The 19,209-nt window shown below is 34.7% G+C and overlaps 2 protein-coding genes across 6 annotated transcripts in view, besides 1 other annotated feature; one reads left to right on the forward strand and one right to left on the reverse strand.

Annotated features, from left to right (window-relative positions):
- The window catches only part of KCTD3 (potassium channel tetramerization domain containing 3), a 54,504-nt gene extending 39,677 nt beyond the window's left edge, over positions 1–14,827 (forward strand). For 3 of the 5 annotated variants that reach the window (NM_016121.5, XM_047422104.1, XM_005273158.3), the window contains 5 exons: positions 1,037–1,192; positions 4,845–4,941; positions 11,906–12,090; positions 12,173–12,311; positions 13,077–14,827. In NM_016121.5, coding sequence (NP_057205.2) covers positions 1,037–1,192; positions 4,845–4,941; positions 11,906–12,090; positions 12,173–12,311; positions 13,077–13,638 — 1,139 coding nt within the window. In that variant the 3' untranslated portion in view covers positions 13,639–14,827. The remainder of the gene's footprint in view (positions 1–1,036; positions 1,193–4,844; positions 4,942–11,905; positions 12,091–12,172; positions 12,312–13,076) is intronic. The other 2 variants (NM_001319295.2, NM_001319294.2) reach the window with 1 other exon arrangement.
- The window catches only part of USH2A (usherin), an 800,558-nt gene continuing 797,259 nt past the window's right edge, over positions 15,911–19,209 (reverse strand). The window contains exon 72 of the mRNA NM_206933.4: positions 15,911–18,890. Within this exon, the coding sequence (NP_996816.3) occupies positions 18,801–18,890 (90 nt within the window). The 3' untranslated portion in view covers positions 15,911–18,800. The remainder of the gene's footprint in view (positions 18,891–19,209) is intronic.
- Positions 18,343–18,543: a silencer, noted in NCBI's record as "peak696 fragment used in MPRA reporter construct". NCBI's record gives its function as "represses an SCP1 promoter by STARR-seq MPRAs in K562 erythroleukemia cells {active_cell/tissue: K562}" and the evidence as "EXISTENCE:reporter gene assay evidence [ECO:0000049][PMID:32103011]".

Raw genomic sequence — 19,209 nt, forward strand, 5'->3', positions numbered from 1 at the left:
TAGAACAAAATGTCCCCTTTTCACCAGAAAACTGACAGTCTAATAATTGAGAATTTTGTTATATAAGAATAGAAAGTACACAGATGTTACTTATTGCTGTTTGCCAAAATTAAATTTCTTTCTAAAGTTTTGTTTAAAATATGTGTAACTGTAGAATATGTAACACATTTTTACCCAGTAGTAAATATTATGTATGTGTGTATATAAGAAATTTTAGATACTTTCCTAATATTTACTGATGAGTTCATAGTTCATTGCTAATAATAACATATTTTCTAAAATCATAAATGGCAAAATCAGTATATTTTTTATTAAAGCATGCCAAAAAAAGTAGTTTTTGCATTAGTGATACACTTTATGGTGTATATTTTCAAATAGAGTATCTACTCAGACAAAAAAAAGTACAGCTAGACGAGGAGACATTTCAGTATATGCTCAGTTAATATTCTATTCACAAAATAAATAAAACTAATTGGAGTATGTTTTTTAAATACAGACTTTATATAAAAATAATGCTCAGCTTTAGTACAGAATCTTAATTTTCCTTAATGTAACTATGAGTTGGCAATAAATAGCTGATTGCTCAAGATGTTTGACAAATGTCATTTGTGCCAATAATTTTTCGGTAAGTTCTGATCTAGGTTAATAGTTGAGTAGCATAAGCAGAAACAGTTTCTATAGTTAGGAAAAATAAACTAGGAAACTGTTTACTATGTAGTTTGGCCACAGAACAGGATAATATTCAGCATCTTTTTTCTTACACACACATTATTTTTAACCTTTACTACATTTATAACCTACAAGCTATTTTTATGAGGATCTGTAGGTTTACTTAATGTACCTTATATTTTGCAGCAAGGTAAAACATCCAGTTTTCTCACTTTTGTTAAGTAGTCACAAATCAAGTATAGTTTTAAGATAAATATGTCATTTGCCACTTATACTCTGATCTGTGTAATATAGATGATAGTGAAAAAAGTTAAAATGAGTTTTTAAAAGTAATTTTGTATTCTTTTGTGTTCTCTTTCTCTGCTAGTCTGTGCAGATAATAATCATGTCCGGACGTGGACAGTAACACGATTCAGAGGAATGATCTCTACTCAGCCAGGTTCTACTCCTTTAGCGTCATTCAAGATACTATCCCTGGAGGAGACAGAAAGTCATGGTAGCTATTCCTCTGGAAATGACATAGGTGGGTTAGGTTATTTTAGGGCATTTTTAGGTACTATATTAACTGTTCAGAAGAAGCATATCAACTAATAAAACCACAAAAATGAGTTTTAAATACAAATTTTCCATTTTAATTTTGAAATTCTAAACAGAATTTTAGTGTGTTTTTCTGATTAAATTCTATAAATTCACAAAATTATTTTATTGCAGCGTTTTTCCTTAAAATGTTAGAGCAAATTTTTCCTCTTATTAATGTTTCATCATTTAAAGAATGTCATCTTCACATGTTAACTACTTTTATTTATTATTAAAACTATGATAACTGTGTACATTTGACATTTGAAATTTTTTTTGTTAATCTACTGAAAATAAAATTTGAAGCTAGAAAAACGTTGGTCCCTATAAATGAGAGTCATTTTGATGACATCGTAATATTCATTAGGAAACAATGTAGTATGTCTCCTTTGATATTCTCTGATTTCAGCAAAAGGTGTATAAGTTTAGTTTAGGTTTTCTCTCTATACACCATACATACGTGTGCACATGGGCACTCACACATCCACACATGTGTGCATACACATATACAGTCTTCATAGAGATAGATCATTCCACCCCCGGCCCCATTTGAAAGAATCTCACTGTCCTTATAAGCTACTTAAGAGAATTCTACTACCACAGCCTTACTATTTTTAGAAAGAGAAATATGCAGTGTTACCAGTTTTAACAGTTGTTATATAATCCCAGTTCTCTGCATGATTCTAGGCACTGGAAGTTTATATTGTTATTTATTCAACAAATATTTATCGAGTACTTGTGTTCTAGATATTAGAAATTTTAAAAAGTGCGGTGAACATCAACTTACAATGTAGTGAGCAGTGGGAATTAAAATAAAACAGTTGCATTTTGCAACTTTGCTTAAAGGCATAGGTCAAAAAGAACCCGGAGGAGATAGTGCCAGGATCTATGTTAGAGGTTGTAATATATGCTCTCGTTTAATCTTGACAATTTAGGAGGTAGATACCCCACTTAATGTTGACAGAAGCTGACATTCAGACAGAGAACACACAGAGGTTTTAATGTTTGAACTGATACATGAAGGATAGACATTTGTTGGGTGTGGAAGGTTCTAAGGTTGGAACATTCCTGGCAGAGAAAACAGCAAGTTAAAAGGGTAGAGGCCAAGGGAACTTGACAAGTTTAGAAAATGTCAAGAAGGTCATTAATTGTTGGATTATAGGATATGTGGGTAAGAATAGTAAGACATACTGAGTGAATAGGCCAGTGCCGGATCGTGGAAGGCATCTATACATCAAACTAAGAAATTTAGATTTTATCTTGTAAGTAATGGAGACCTTTTGAAGAATTTTGAGAATGATACTAGATTTGTGATATATATAATTCATCTTTCAAGAGCATGCAAGAAGACTTGACAGTGAAGACATGAGAGAGTGAAGCAAGGAAACCAGAAAGGAGGAATTTATTAACCAAAGTGCATGGTGGTCATTGACTAGATGTGGCAGGCATGAGAGAGGAAGGAGTCTAAAGTGACCCTAAGGATTCTTGAGAAATGGAGTAGCTGAGTATTATTTACTAAATAAAGAAATATAGGAAGAAGAACTTATTTTGAAAACAAAGATGAATTCAGACTTGTATATTTTGAGTGATGATGCATATGGATACTATTCTGTGGTATGAAGATATACCTGGTTCTGTGGTATGAAGATATACCTGGTTTCTGGAGAAAGAACTTAACTAGAAGTTATGTTTATGAGTATTCAGCATATAAGAAGCACCTGAAAGCCCCAGGAGTAGATGTATTGTTCAGGGAGAGCATGTGTATTGTGAATAAAAAGATATTTATAAACAGCCCTGTAAATTAATTATAAAACCCAGTAAGATAAAGGGGACAGGGAGGCTTTTCATTCCTCTTTATAGTGGTATTTAAAATATATATATCTTCATAGACAAATGGACATACAGATTAGTGGAACAGAGTAGAGTCCAGATTCAGTAGAGTGGTAAAGGTGAAATCTACATTGTAATGGGTAATGGGGTAATAGATATTGGAGGTGACCATGAAATAAAGAAGTAATGGAGCTAGTTGGAAGGCAGGGAAGTTCAAAGGTCATATTTTTACACATGATCTTAGCCAAAAGGCCAAGAAGCGATCAAAGGTCATTTTTTTTTATTCCTCCAACTTTCTCCCTCATTAAAGTTAAGAAAGACCTAGGAATATTTTGTATTCCAAGGAAAGGAGCCAGTTTGGGAAGGGAAACTATAAATGGGAGGTGGGGGAAGCGAGGGCAAAGAAGGTATGAAGAATAGGTTATGGGTCAGTCTCATGTCAACATGAAGTTCAAAGGGAGAGAAGATACAGTTCTATAGTCTTCTCATTCCTAGTTATTTTATTCTGAGTTATTCATTGTCAATATTTTGACTTTGTTTATGAGTTATTGAATGAGGATTGTCATTTCATTTTAATAAAATTAGAGATCAGAAGGTTCCAGTAATTGAGCAACTGCATAATATACTGAAGAGCCAGACAGGTTTGTTTGAATTCCACTTCCATCATATAGGACCTATGAGAACTTTGGTTAACTAATCTCTTGGTGCCTTATTTTTTTCATCTGTAAAATGGAGATGGTAAATAATAGTACCTCCCTTATGTGGTTATTATGGTGATTAAAATGAGTATATATTTGGAAAGCATTTACGGTGGCACATAGTAAGTACAGTGTAAGTATTAGCTAATAATAAAGATGACATTGGTTCATTTAATAAGTACATGTATGATTCATGTAACATAACGGGATATATTGTCTTTAAAATTTTTATTGTAAATCTTTTTACAATACTTTTTATGAATTGTAAGTTGATATTATTTTAGCTACTAAGTGTAATGGGAAAAGAGAATTATTAAAATTTTATGTTTAAGTTTTAAACAAAAACTTTTTTTCTTTACATTGTTGTTCAGGATCTTTCTAAAATATAATGGGCTATTTATCTGTCTTGCCAAATACAATAAAGTGAAAATAATTGAATCTTTCCTTTTAGATTGAAAAGCTTCAGGGTGCAACTCAGTAGTACATTTTATACTGTACTTTAATCTTCATACTGTGTTTTTCTCTTGGTTTACCAATTACCTTATATAAAATTGTGTGTGTGTTTTTTTAATTTGCATCTTTAAAAAGAAGAAATGTGGTTAACAGAAGCTTCAACTAATTACATTCCATCTGATGAAGTTTCACTTTATATTTTAAGATTTTGTGTGTTGTCTTCTAAAAAGTAAAATCACTACATGAAATGACTTAATGTATACGTCTCTTTTAAGTTATAAGAATCTAAGCACATCCCCAAAGATAGTAAATATCTTAACAGGTCTCCTGCTAGTACTGTTAATGTGGCACCTTAGGAAATTTTTTCTTTTAGCTTTTACAGCCTTAGTTATATATAAAATATAATTTAGAAATAATTGTGTATTTCTTTAAAAATGTTCTAATGCAAATTGAAGTACTTGTATACATTTATTGCATGTCTGATGTTGAGCTGAAATGTGATACCATATTGGTACGTATAAGAAATTCTTTTCTTATATTAATATTAATGTTCCTTTTGTAAAATGAGAAAAAATAAAATTTTAATTAATTTTTTGACATTTTTGTTTTCTGATCAAGGACCTTTTGGAGAGCGAGACGATCAACAGGTGTTTATCCAGAAAGTTGTTCCCATCACCAACAAACTATTTGTAAGACTCTCATCGACTGGAAAAAGGTAACACTTTATTGTAAAAATATTTGTATTCAGAAGCCACCTTTTGTCTTACAAAACATATGGCATAATTTGACATATTGACCAAAGAGTGCTACTAGAAACAAATTGTTGGGACAGAAGTCTGTTATCTCATAATCATAACTCAAAATTAAGACAGTAGACTTTATGCTTACTTTCTGGGATTTAAGAGTTTCACTGATGCTGTGGACAGTTAGGAGGGACTAGTGATAGAATAAGAACACAGTGAACTTTTTTTCATGGCCAAACATAAATACTTATTAATTTTGTTATTATAAACAGTTTCTATCTTTAAAAAACCTGGAACTTAAATATTTTCCATCCCATATAAATCTGTATACATTATTGATGTTTCTCAAATAAAACATTACAGATTTCCTGATTCAGTATCCCCTTTTAAAATAAAAATGATATTAATAACACTAATTTGCATAATCTTGGCACAGCTTACAACATAGCACACATTTTTTTTTTCTATTTTAGACCTATTTCCATCTACTTTAACATGGAGAGAAATTGTCTGTCTCCGTGAGAGTAGGATTCCTGTCTTTATGCAGTCTCCTCAGTATTTGTTTGTGAATGCTGCACTTATGCTTCCATTATATGGCACTGGCAGTATTCCTCTGCTTTTGTCTTCAGAAATGATTTCTATTCAAACTTAAAGAACATAGTGAATTTGCTGGCAGACGGCTGAACTAATTCTGGCACTTCCTGTTACTAGCTATGTAAATACAACTCAAGTTATTTTATTTCCCTTATCCCAGTTTCTTTATAAAATAAGGTTCAACGACTTTGGCAGGATTTCATAGGATAAAATAAATTTCAAAAATGAAATATCTCTCATAGTACCTAACCATAATAGATGTACAGTAGAAGTTAATTTCCTCTTCCTTTTCTATTGACTGAAATTTTACTTCTTTTAAAATTATTATTTATAACCTCAGATTTTGCTTCAACATTCCTCTGCATTAAACAAATTTTTTTGACGATGAGAACACATGGACACATGGAAGGGAACAACACACAACAAGGAGCCTGTTGGGGGTGAGCGGGGCCGGGGAGAGAGAGAGCATCAGGAAGAATAGCTAATGGATGCTGGGTTTAATACCTAGGTGATGGGTTGATCTATGCAGCAAACCACTATGGCACATGTGTAACAGACCTGCACATCCCGCACATGTACCCCAGAACTTAAAAGTTACAGGGAAAAAGTTTTTTGCATGTCAAACAAATGAAAAAAGTAACTTTCCTGTTAATAGTCCATTAGGAAGGTTATTGTTTTCATTTTATTTATTTATGAATGAGACGGAGTCTTGCTCTTTTGCCAGGCTAGAGTGCTGTGGTGTGATCTCAGCTCACTGCAACCTCCAGACATGTGTCTGTTCGTGTCGTTTGCCCACTTTCTAATGGAGTCATGTTTTACTTGTTGATTTGAGTTCCTTATAGATGCTGGATATTAGACCTTTGTCAGATGCTTAGTTTGCAGATATTTTCTCCTATCCTGTAGGTTGTCTGTTTACTCTGTTGATAGTTTCTTTTGTGGTGCAAGTGCTCTTTACTTTAATAAGGTCCCACTTGTCAATTTTTGTTTTTGTTGCAGTTGCTTTTGGAGTCTTTGTCATGAGATCTTTGCCAGGGCTGATGTCCAGGTTGATATTTCCTAGGTTTCCTTCTAGGGTTTTTACAGTTTTAGGTTTTACATTTAAGTCTTTACTGCATCTTCTGTTGATTTTTGTATGTAGTAAGAGGAAGGGGTTGAGTTTGAATCTTCTGCAAATGGCTAGCCAGTAATCCCAGCACCATTTATTGAATAGGGAGTCTTTTCCCCATTGTTTATTATCAGCTTTGTTGAAGATCAGGTGGTTTTAAGTATATGGCTTTGTTTTCTGGGTTCTGCATCCTGTTGCTTTGGTCTATGTGTTTGTTTTTGTACCGGTACCATGCTGTTTTGGTTATTGTAGCCTTGTAGAATAGTTTAAAGTTGGGTAGTGTGACGTCTCTGGCTTTGTTCATTTGCTTAGGATTGCTTTGTCTATTTTATTTGGGCTCTTTTTTGGTTTCATAGGAACTTTAGAATAGTTTTTTTTTTTTTTTTTTTTTTTTTTTTTTAAGAGACAGAGTCTCACTCTGTCACCCAGGCTGGAGTGCAGTGGTGTAATATCAGCTTACTGCAAGCTCTGCCTCCCGGGTTCACACTATTCTCCTGCGTCAGTTCCTGAGTAGCTGGGATTACAAATGCATGCCACCACGCCTGGCTAATTTTTTGCATCTTTAGTAGAGACGGGGTTTCACTGTGTTAGCCAGGATGGTCTCGATCTCCTGACCTCATGATCCGCTCACCTCCGCCTCCCAAAGTGCTGGGATTACAGGCGTGAGCCACTGCATCCGGCCTAGAAATAGTTTTTTCTAATTCTGTGAAAAATGTCATTGGTAGTTTGATAAGAATAGCATTGATGTAATTACTTTGTGTAGCATGGCCATTTTAACAATATTAATTCTTTCTATCCATGGTCATGGAATGTTGTTCCACTTGTTTGTGTTGTCTGCTTTCTTCGAGCAGTGTTTTTGTAATTCTTGTCTTAAAGATCTTTCACCTCTGTGGTTTGCTGTATTTCTAGGTATTTTATTCTTTTTGTGGCTTTTGTGAATGGGATTGCATTCTTGATTTGGCTCTCAGTTTTAATGTTAATTGGTGTATAGAAATGCTACTGATTTTTGTACATTGATTTTGTTTTTTAAAACTTTGCTGAAGTTGTTTATTAGATGTAGGAGCCTTTGGCAGAGACTGTGGGGTTTTCTAGGTATAGAATCATTTTATTTTCATTTTAATGTTACTAATCCTGTTCATTTTAAAATTTTATGGCTGCATTTTCAACATATCTGTTAATATTTTGATGAATAAATTCTTTGAGATGAATTTTTTACATCAAAGTTCATTATCAAATTGCATAAATGACTGTGATGTAGTGTTCTCTGCATAGTGAAGAAACTGCCAAATGTTATTAAAACTGGTATCATAACATTCTCTAACAATGTAGTATATCATATTTACTTATTCAATTCTAATATCCCCTCTTCTGTTATTTCTGATATCCCCCTTTCTGTTATTTCTAACAGTAACACTGTGCAATTTCTGCATAATAAAACAAATTTTATAATTTTTAAGTTTATGATTCCAAAGGAAAAGCTATAGTTACAAAAATAACATGCAGAAATTACTCTGTAGAATTGAATAGAAAATTAGCCCTTTATAAAGCTATAGTGAACCAAAGATTTTGTTTAAGGACAGTTCAGGCTCTTAATAGTGAGAAGTGAAATGAAAGGGTTTTATTTAAAGGAAGCAAGAAAAAACCTTGTAGAAAATTTTAAATAAAGGAGTAGTTTTAAGAAATCTATCCCGGCCGGGCGTGGTGGCTCACGGCTGTAGTCCCAGCACTTTGGGAGGCCGAGGCGGGCAGATCACAAGGTCAGGAGATTGAGACCATCCTGGCTAACACGGTGAAACCCTGTCTCTACTAAAAATACCAAAAATTAGCCAGGCGTGGTGGCGGGTGCCTGTAGTCCCAGCTACTTGGGAGGCTGAGGCAGGAGAATGGCATGAACCCGGGAGATGGAGCTTGCAGTGAGCTGAGATCGCGCCACTGCACTCCAGCCTGGGCGACAGAGCAGGCCTCCGTCTCAAGAAAAAAAAAAAAAAGAAATCTGCATAGGGGGAAAAAAGTTCAAAATTATGTTTGTTTTGTGGAAGCAGAAGGGTCACAGCAGATACCCCTTTAACAAAAGATAGGCTAGCAAGAGAAAACATTACAAATTGATTTTATTATACTTTTATATGACACGAGAGCCTTCAGAATGAAGACCCAAAGACACAAGGAAAAGTGTCCATTTTTATGCTTAGGTTAGAAGAAGCAGGGACAGCCATGTAGAACTGTGACTGGACAAAAAGTTGTAAGTTAACAGAAATAGACTGAGTAGGGAACTCCAGTGGAGACTGTCTCTGTGTGGCATTCCTTTCTCCCAGGGATGGGGCAGAACCCCTCTGTAGTGAGGGCCTTAATTTCTTTATGGCTAGCTGTTCACAGAAAGATAGGGACATGTTAGGGTAATATTTTTATGCTTCATGGCTAGCTTTGGGGAAAGAGCGTTCTGGTTTCTGTGAGCCACCTTGGGGAAAAAGAAGATTGTCTCTATGGCTTGCCTTGCAGGTCAGAGAGAAACTTTGCTTCTGAGGGTATTTTCTGAGACCCAAGTTTTCATATGCATACAAATGTTGATTTGTTTTATTTGAAACATAAACAGGACTCTGAGGAGGGAGTTGTTGAACATTTTAAATCAATTTACAGATATTATTTAAAAATAAATGTAATTCACTAAATTATGATCATCTTGATAAATACAGGAATAAAATCTGATAATTTGTCACCTATTTATGATTTAAAAAAACCCTAGCAACTAAAAAAAGGGAAATTTTAAAATCTGATAATGCCCATGAAAATAATTCTTTCAAACTTTATATTGGCGAAATATTAAAAACTTCCAGGCCGGGTGCGGTGGCTCACACCTGTAATCCCAGCACTTTGGGAGGCTGAGGTGGGCGGATCACCTGAGGTCGGGAGTTCAAGATCAGCCTGACCAACATGGAGAAACCCCATCTCTACTAAAAATACAAAATTAGCCAGGCCTGGTGGCACACGCCTGTAATCCCAGCTACTCAGGAGGCTGAGGCAGGAGAATCGCTTGAACCCAGGAGGCAGAGGTTGCAGTGAGCCGAGATCACGCCATTGCACTCCAGCCTGGGCAACAAGAGCAAAACTCCGTCTAATGAAAAAAAATAATAATTTCCTTTGTGTGATATTGTGAAATACATATTTGGTCTTTGTCTCTGTTTCCTGGTATATTCCTTCAAAAATTCTTAAAGTCTTCCAAATGATAAGTGTCTTTTTGTATGCCAATGAGTTGACTGATGGCAGGTCACCAGAAAGACCAAGATGGGAGTAGAAGGTTGGCACTTTCAGCCCCACCCAGCAACCTTTGAGAAGGGGAGAGGAGCCGAAGGCTAAGTTGATCAATGGCCAATGATTTAATCAATCATGCCTATATAATGGAGCCATTATAAAATAATAATAATAAACTGAGTTCAGAGCGCTTCCAGATAGCTGAAAACCTGGAGGTTCTGAAGGGTGGCGTGCCCAGGGAGGGCATGGAAGCTCTATGCTCCTTCCCACACACCTTACCCTGGGAATCTATTGTTCATCTGTATTCTTTGTAATTAACTCGTAAATGCGAGCTTTCCTTTGAATTCTGTGAGCCACTCTAGCAAATTAGTTGAACCTAAGGAGGAGGCTGTGGGAACCCTGATTTACAGTCAGTCAGTTAGAAGCACAGGCAAAATAACCTGAGGCTTGTGATCAGCCTCTGAAGTGGGGCTCAGCTTTGTGAGACCGAGTCTTCTACCCGTGTGATATGACAGATAGTGTCAGAATTAAATTGAGTTAGAGGACACTTAGCTGGTGTCTGCTGCAGAATCGACTGCTTGCTTGGTGTTTGGTGAACCCCTCCACCCCATTTGGTCACAGAACCCTTTTTTTTGCCAAGGAGTGAAGGACATTCTGCCCCAAAATAGGCCAAATTGGTATATTGATTATTTTGAGGTGAAAACATTAGAGAAATTGTCATTTCAGAAGGGGATAGCTGACCTCTCTCTTCCTACATGCAGCAAGCCAAAAGATTTTCTCGGAGTTTTATCCTCCCTGTACCAGGACAGGAGAGTGGGAACTGGGGGCTGCAGTGGACCTGAGTGAATATGCTTACCTTCCACTAGTTTTACATTGTCCCACTATATATATATATAATGTATATATATAATACATATTTAATATATATTAAATATATATTACATATATTTAGTATATACGTAATATATATTAAATATATATAATATATATGTATATCTTCTAGTGACTCCCTTAGAAATTTACTGCCTCTAGTCAGATTTTCTTTATCCTGTCATTTGTTCTACAGTTTATCATTCTTTGTCTGAATTGTATAAAAGCATCTTGCTGTGGCCACTTCTTTGGACCTCACTCTCTTGTGAAGATTCCCATGTACATGTAAAACTAATAAAATGTATATGCTTCTCTCTTGTCAGTCTGTGTGGTGTCAGTTTGGTTTCTAGATCCAGCCAAGAGCCCACATAACTAAAAGGGCATTTGGAGGTAAACTTTCACTTTCCTTAGAGTTGATTGTTGCATGAGAGTACAGGAAAAATACTTTGGTTTGTTTATTCCTGTATTCACAAACCTTGAGCTCAAGAATGAGACTAGGATAGTCTTTATCACTACATGTGGGCATGTAGGAATTATCTTTTTCCCTCCTTTTTGTCCGGCCTACTAGGAAGCTCATCTAAGCTTCATATTCTATTCCTGTATGCTTCTCAAATTCATGTGGATTGTATTTTTTTTTGTCTATTTTTTTGACCTTGCGTTTGCCTATACTGATTTTTCTTTTTTAATAAACTCCCTCAACTCTTTTGAAGTAGGCTGGGATAACTAATTCAGTCAAGTACAATTCAGTTAGCCCTTACGTGACTTTGGAACAATCATTTGCTGATGTTATCCCATTGTTTCCTGATCCGTCAATGTGGATAAAAATTGTTCTCTCTCAGGTTCTTTTATCTTTTATGAAAATCAACTAAAAAGTCATAAAAATCTTTTTTTGAAGTTGAGTATTATCCTAATGATGGATACAATATGGGCCATCTCCATAGAGCTGTATATTTTTTCTGGTTTCAGATTTTAAAGATTTACACATAAATTTTAAATGATTTTTTAAAAGTCTTTTCTAGTATAACATGTTTGCTTTCTTTCTTTCTGTCTTTTTAGTTTCATAGCTTCTTTTTAAATAATTGCTCATTCCCATCAGGGCTCTTTCTGCTTTTCTTTTGCAGAATATGTGAGATCCAGGCTGTTGACTGTACTACAATATCCTCATTTACAGTGAGGGAATGTGAGGGATCCAGTAGGATGGGCTCAAGACCAAGGCGCTACTTGTTCACAGGCCATACAAATGGCAGTATTCAAATGTGGGATCTGACCACTGCTATGGATATGGTTAACAAAAGTGAAGATAAGGGTAGGTTCTCATACAGAAAGATGTTTGTCACAAGGTTAAGCTTTTCACTTAAGTGATTTTAATGACTATTTGTTCTCCTAAGATGTAGGTGGTCCAACCGAAGAAGAGCTACTCAAATTACTCGATCAATGTGATTTGAGCACATCTCGCTGTGCTACTCCTAACATCAGTCCAGCAACTTCCGTAGTTCAGCATAGCCACTTACGAGAATCAAATTCTAGGTAGGTTAAAGAGTTGGGTATTATAAACAAAATTTATTTCTTTTGGGGAAATTGACTGAAATATTGTAATCACATAGTTGTTCTAGAAAGCCATACTTCTCAAGGTACATTTTAAATTCAGACATTATGTTAACTTTTTAACAGTTTTACCAAATTTCTTGATAGGCATATCTGGTTCTTTTCATAGAAAAACATTTTTACCTTTTAACTTATTTTGTGAATTGCTGCCCAATTGGAAGCCTATTATGTGATCAAGAATTTATTCAAAGGAAATTAGGAAAATTACATGTCACCTTGGTTAGTATGTGAAGCTTTAATTATTGTCCTGTCTCAGGGACAATATTTATCTGTGGTTCTATTATGTTGTCTAGTCTTACATTTAAGCATTATGTAATTTTAATACAAAGTTCCATAATGTCTTTTTAGTTATCATATTGATAAATTCCAAAGTCTGAAGAACCAAGGGCTAAATACTGAATTATGATGGTTTCACATTGGTTTCAAGGATTTTTCCTCCCATCTTTTTTTTAGCTGTTCAAAAATTCAGCATGTCTGTGAATATATGATGGTATTATTTGCATTGGTAATTTTATATACCATCTATATAATAAAGAGTACTTGATAAGTATATTTTTACAAAGAGAAATATGGATATAATACACTTTATGTATTTATATAGTGTGTTTTATTGGTTGTATAATTAATATGTTCCTGAGAAATCACAGAGTGAAATCTGAACTGTCATTTTTAAAAACTGTATTTCAGCCTTCAGCTTCAGCACCATGATACCACCCATGAAGCAGCTACTTACGGTTCCATGAGGCCTTACAGAGAAAGTCCTTTATTAGCAAGGGCAAGAAGGACTGAGAGCTTTCACAGTTATAGGGACTTCCAGACTATTAATTTGAACAGAAATGTAGAAAGAGCTGTCCCTGAAAATGGTAACTTGGGTCCAATACAAGCTGAAGTGAAAGGGGCAACAGGGGAATGTAATATATCTGAGAGAAAGTCTCCTGGAGTAGAAATAAAAAGTTTGAGAGAATTGGATAGTGGATTGGAAGTGCATAAAATAGCTGAAGGTTTTTCAGAATCCAAGAAAAGGTCATCAGAAGATGAAAATGAAAATAAAATAGAGTTTAGGAAGAAAGGAGGATTTGAAGGGGGAGGATTCCTTGGAAGAAAGAAAGTTCCCTATCTGGCGTCATCACCAAGTACTTCCGATGGAGGAACTGACTCACCTGGTACTGCGTCCCCATCTCCTACAAAGACTACTCCATCTCCTCGGCATAAAAAAAGTGATTCTTCAGGTCAGGAGTACAGCTTGTGAAAACTCACCAAAATGAATAGTTGTTTCGTTACATTTAGATGAAAGTTAAACTTTACTGAATTTCAGTACATTAGTTTTTACACTAAAACTTTACAAGATAAAATTGGACTTCATTTAGTATCTTTTTAACAGAATTACTTGGAATAATGAGATACAATAATCATATCTCTTTTGACATTTTGGAAATTTTTTTAATTTTACAAGTACATTTAACAGATCATTTATAAAGCAGGAGTCCATTTTAACACTTACCGACTTTTTTTGGTTTGGAAACATATTACCACGTCTTAATAGGATGGTGCCCATATAGGTGAGCATCCCTTTAGATCATGGGAACCAGCAGACTGCATTCCTAATCTTCATTATGCCTGAGACTTGTCTTACAATGTTACCTTTAAGTGAATCACATAATTGTCTTTGGAACTTGGTCTCCCAACACTTATTGTGATTGCAAAGTGTTTACCAGATATTTGATGAGGTGCTATGTTTGTGAAAAACATATCATGTAATTCAAAAACACTATTGATATTGAATACCAGATACCACTATGTAGTAAGTCTTTTAGGATGATTTTAATTTAGTCGTGCGTCATTTTCTGATTCTCATCATTGGGAGATCTTAAATCTTAGCAAGCATTAGCAATATTAAATGCCAAAATTCCATTGAAACTTTCAAGTTGGAGCAATTGTCTGTGTTTGAAAAGATGAAATAAAAATAATAATCAAGGGCAAAGCTTTGAGTGCCCAGAAGGGAAAGCTGTACCAGTTGCTAACCTGTCTTGTTTCAGGAGCCACCATGTTTTTTTTTCAGTGTTAACAACAATCATGATAATTAAATTAAAACACTAGTTTGTTCACTTGTAGGACTGCAGTTCTGAATTTTGGGTTAAAGGTTTTGGCTGCTGTAAGAATGTGAATTTGAATGTATTTTGAATTGTAAGAGCAAAAGAACGTTTTTGTACAATTTTTTTTCATTTAATTGGAATGATCTTCAGGTTTCTACAAATAGGGTAATTGTAAATTTAAAGCATTAGCATTTATTGGTGAATAATGTATATATCCCCATTCCAAGAAATATAAGTGAGTGAAGTTGAAATAAAATCTTTAAAATTTACTATATTGCCAGTGGTTTCACAACAGTTCTCTTGTATTTATTTATCAATTAAATCAAATAAAAATGATTATGTCAATGCGTTTTCAGTTATTTAAGTAACAGTTCTGTTTAAAGTGTGCTATATATGTTTGTTCATTTCTTTGCTTCTTCCCATAATTTAAAAAAAATGGGGGGAGGGAGAACTTAATATATGTGGAAAATAAGTTATTATCAATGAAAGAAAATATTAGGCAAAGCATAATTTCAAAATTACTAAGATTGTAATTATCTTACACCCTTCTTCCTCTTTATGACAGTTATGTGAAAGTTGGGTGGGCAAGTAAGAAAATGAAAGAAAAAACTAGACTCTAGTGACCAGGAATAAAAGGCCATTAAAAAGAAGATAGTAACTATTATGTAATAGAATCGCATAAAAAGGAAACTGACTATACTAGATTGCATTACAGTACAAGTCAAATCGTTTCTTTCTTTTGCTTACAGGAGATTGAACCTTGATGCAGTGGTTTATGTCTGTCTACTCTGACACTAATTTCTCAGATTGCCCCCATTATGCCTTAATTTTTTCATTATACCTACCTCATTAGGGTCGCTGTGGTGGGAAGAAAAAAAATTGAAATGAGTCTGTGTACTTTGTGTGATTGATGATGAAAAATGAAAACAATTGTAATTATTTTCATGGAAAGAAGTATTTTCATACCAATAGGGTAAGTAAGTAAGTGTTGTTGTTATCCTCATTTCACAGATGGGATCACTGAGACCCACAGGGGTTAAATAACTAACTTAGTGACAAGGCTTATTACCTACTGAGCCAACTTCTGAACCCAAATCTTTCTATTTCAAGAGTCTATGGTCCTGTTCCTGGCTCTTATGCAGGCTTATGTATCAGAAATGGCTGAGGTTAGACACATGGTTGCCCAGGCCTCACTCCCACTCCAGTCCTGCTGAATTTGAATCTCTGCTGGTTGAGACATAATAATAGTATATTTTGGAAAAAAAAATAAAACAGTTTTCATTCTAATAATGTACATTGTTGGTTGAGAAATTATCCAGAACATCCTACTTACTTTCTTAAATAGGTATAGCTTTATCATCATTTATGTGTAACTCAGAGCTGTTAAGAGTATTATTTTTTAATAATAAATAGATGATTAAGCCAGAATTAGGTCACATTCAAATATTTATTAAGCAAACCATCTTTAGATTAGTTTACATGATATTTGTGCATTGGAAACCAACTATTCATTTGTGACATAATTAAAAGTTCCTTATTAATGAATTCTTCCACTTGGACTATGTTTTATTTACCGGTGTGTTCATGGATGCCAGCATGATTTTTACATCAGTATATGGTACCATAACATTAATATTTGGGTTCCATTTAGTGGAAATTACAGTAGATTATAAACACATTTCTTAGAGTGTATAAAAACAACTGTACTCTTACCAAACAGTTGATATTAAGAATAACAAAACATGGTAGTTCGTAAGCTGAGAATGTGGCATGTACAATTGGTAAAATGTGAGTCAGGAGATTTAAATTTAAAGAGGTTCATCAAGAACTGCTCATTGTTTATAAGGGAGAAGGGGTGAGCCAAGGAGCATAGTCCCTGTGCATAGCATATTATTCCTGTACATGATTTCTTCCAGATTGTGGAACATCAGTGGGTCTCAACATTAGAACACCTGGAAGCTTTAAAAAGTACTGATGCCTCAGCCACACACCCCAGATCAACCGAATCAGAATCTCTAGAGGCGAGTCTGCATGGTTTGTATAATAGAGGCTTGGCACGCAATACCACTTAAAGTAGCAAAGCAACATCTTAGAGTTCTTCTCTGAAATAAATACAAGTAAACTTAGACATGTAGCAGGGGACAGAGTTCTGGGCAGAAGCCATACAGGCTTCTGTCTGCCCTAAGCTATGGAGTCAAAATGTAAATGATTCAGCTAACTGAGTTCATGTCTAATTAGATGATTAAATGGATAATGATCCAAGATAAAATCCCCTGCAGTTCTGTATTTTTTTGTGCGTTGTTAAAATTTTATACTGTGCTTGGAAAAATACACAGTGATAAAGATACCTGGTTAATTTTTCAAAAATCAGGATAAACTCAATCTTCTGAACCTAGCAAAGCATATTTGTAGACTATTCTTTGTGACTAGCAAACTGTATTCTTAGAAGAGTCCACCAAGGATTAGGATGCAAGTTTGTGACCACTCCTTTCCTATATACCTTAAGTAGCTCACAGAAGGTGGACACAGCCTTGGTTAATGCTTATTTGTGCCAGCTTTAAACAACTTTATTGTCCCAGAATCGGCATATGGGAATAAAAACCAGTAAACTAGTCAATCCTATGTTTTCATTTCAGAAAGTATAAAAACTTGGCGAGAAATATATATTTCGTATTTTCTACAGTCACTGCCAGATGTGCACAATTATTTCAGATGCTTTTGTTTATAGCAGTTCTAATAAGGTGGTAGAACTTCTGCTTAATACTGGCCTGTGCTTTTGACACTTATGGTTGGCAAACTTTGTCTAGGAGTTGGTCAGTCTGAGGAGCTGCTCTCTCACAGAGCTAGATGAAATCTCAATACCCAAAAAGTCCACAATCTTTTACTGTTGGGCCCTGGGGTAATACATTGTTTTCAGGCAGAATAAGTAAGACTATCCCTTACTTTACAAGTTTTTGCCTGTCTCTGGTTGTAGATTCACAAAAAGTATTGTGACTATTGTGTGTTAGACAGAGTCAATATTTTCCTGGGGTCACAAAGACCTTTAAGGATGAAGGAAGACAAGAGGTTTTCTTACTCTGTTTTCCATGAAGAACAAATTTAAATATCTGATTTTATGTGGATGATTTGCAAGAAAATTTTTCTTGCCATAGGACTTTCACCAATGACTTTGTAATCCAACTAGAGCAGGTGACAGACATTTTTGAACCGTAATTGGTACTGTTGCATATCATCTGTTCTTACTGATTCTGTGGCTAAAATAATGGCTAGTTCTCCAAAAAGAAGGGATATAGTGCAGAGTAATATATACATGATATACATATATATACACATAGGTATAGTCTTGTCTCTACATGTATATATGTTAATGCTAGAAGGAACAGATACATTTTTCCTTTTAAAATTTCACGCAGCCTAATATTGCAAATAGAACAGTAGTTTCCATTTGAAATGTGCTAGGTTGAAGATGTCAGTATTCTCTGATATTCAGTGAATTGACAGAATTTTATGAGAAACTAGTTTCAAAACTATAAAATATATGAAATAAAAACATTGGTTCAAGTAGAGGTGTTCCTAGTGAAACACTTTGTTTTCTCCTCAAAATGTATAAATAAGCTGTTTACTCCTTAGATTTTTGGAAAATTCATAAATGCAAGAACAGAGACATTTATGTGTAAGTTATGTGTTGCCTTGTCAAAAAGTTTGGTGAGTAACCCTATGTATTGTAAATAAATAGAACCTTCAGCCTTGTCAAAAAGTTTGGTAAGTAACCCTATGTATGGTAAATAAATAGAACCTTCAGAAAAGTTTGTCGACCTGGTGCAAAGTTTGGGATTCATTTAGCAGCTGTGATCATTAGAATAACTATTCTTGCAGGATTGTGTCAACCCTGACAGAAATGGCAGATAGAAATGAACAGCAGTGACATCCTTTCAACAGAATCATTTTTGAGCCAGTAACTAACTTACTACTTCTAACAACTGTGAGCCATCTTGAAATTGCCACTGATTATTCAGTTAACCAGGAGCATCACTGCCAAACAGAACCAAGTGACAATTACATACTTCTTTGTCTTCTACAAAATAAGAGCAAATCAAGTATTTTCATATGAATATTCTCTCTCATTTAAGATGAGAAAAATATCATTTCTTAGACCTCTATTAGGAAGGAACACTTTCAAAAACAGTCATCATTTCTTTAAAGAATTATAGGATAATAAACAATGGCTTTTCAGCATTTATGATGTGTGAGTGATAACCCAGGAGGAAATGGGTGCAGACCTTGCATTCCAGGGTTACGTCTTCTGGGTTTCCATCCTTTACAGGTGGGTGTCTGTGAATGTGGTGCGTTCCTTAGTCACTGAGCTGAAATCCTTGATGGCGTTCATCAGGTCCTCTTCATCCACATACTGAAAAATAAGCCAATCATCATTGGCTACATACTTGCTATCAATAGTATTTGCTATCAATTTATAGTTATATCAATTAAGTGTAAAAAGTAATAAGTATTAAAGGCTTTTTTATTCTCAACACCATGGTGGGGTCTAAAACAGACCTTGCCTTAAATTTCTCTTATTGAAAGGATCACATCACATGCACACATGAACTATAGACTAATTCAAAATGTATATGTGATTTGAGGGTTATATTGTGTCATATTTTAACCTAAGCCTCAGAAGCCTCAGTCTACTCATCTGTAGAGTGGGATGTGTGTGTGTGTACATATAT

Source organism: Homo sapiens, chromosome 1 (assembly GCF_000001405.40).
Source record: "Homo sapiens chromosome 1, GRCh38.p14 Primary Assembly".
Taxonomy (NCBI): domain Eukaryota; kingdom Metazoa; phylum Chordata; class Mammalia; order Primates; family Hominidae; genus Homo; species Homo sapiens.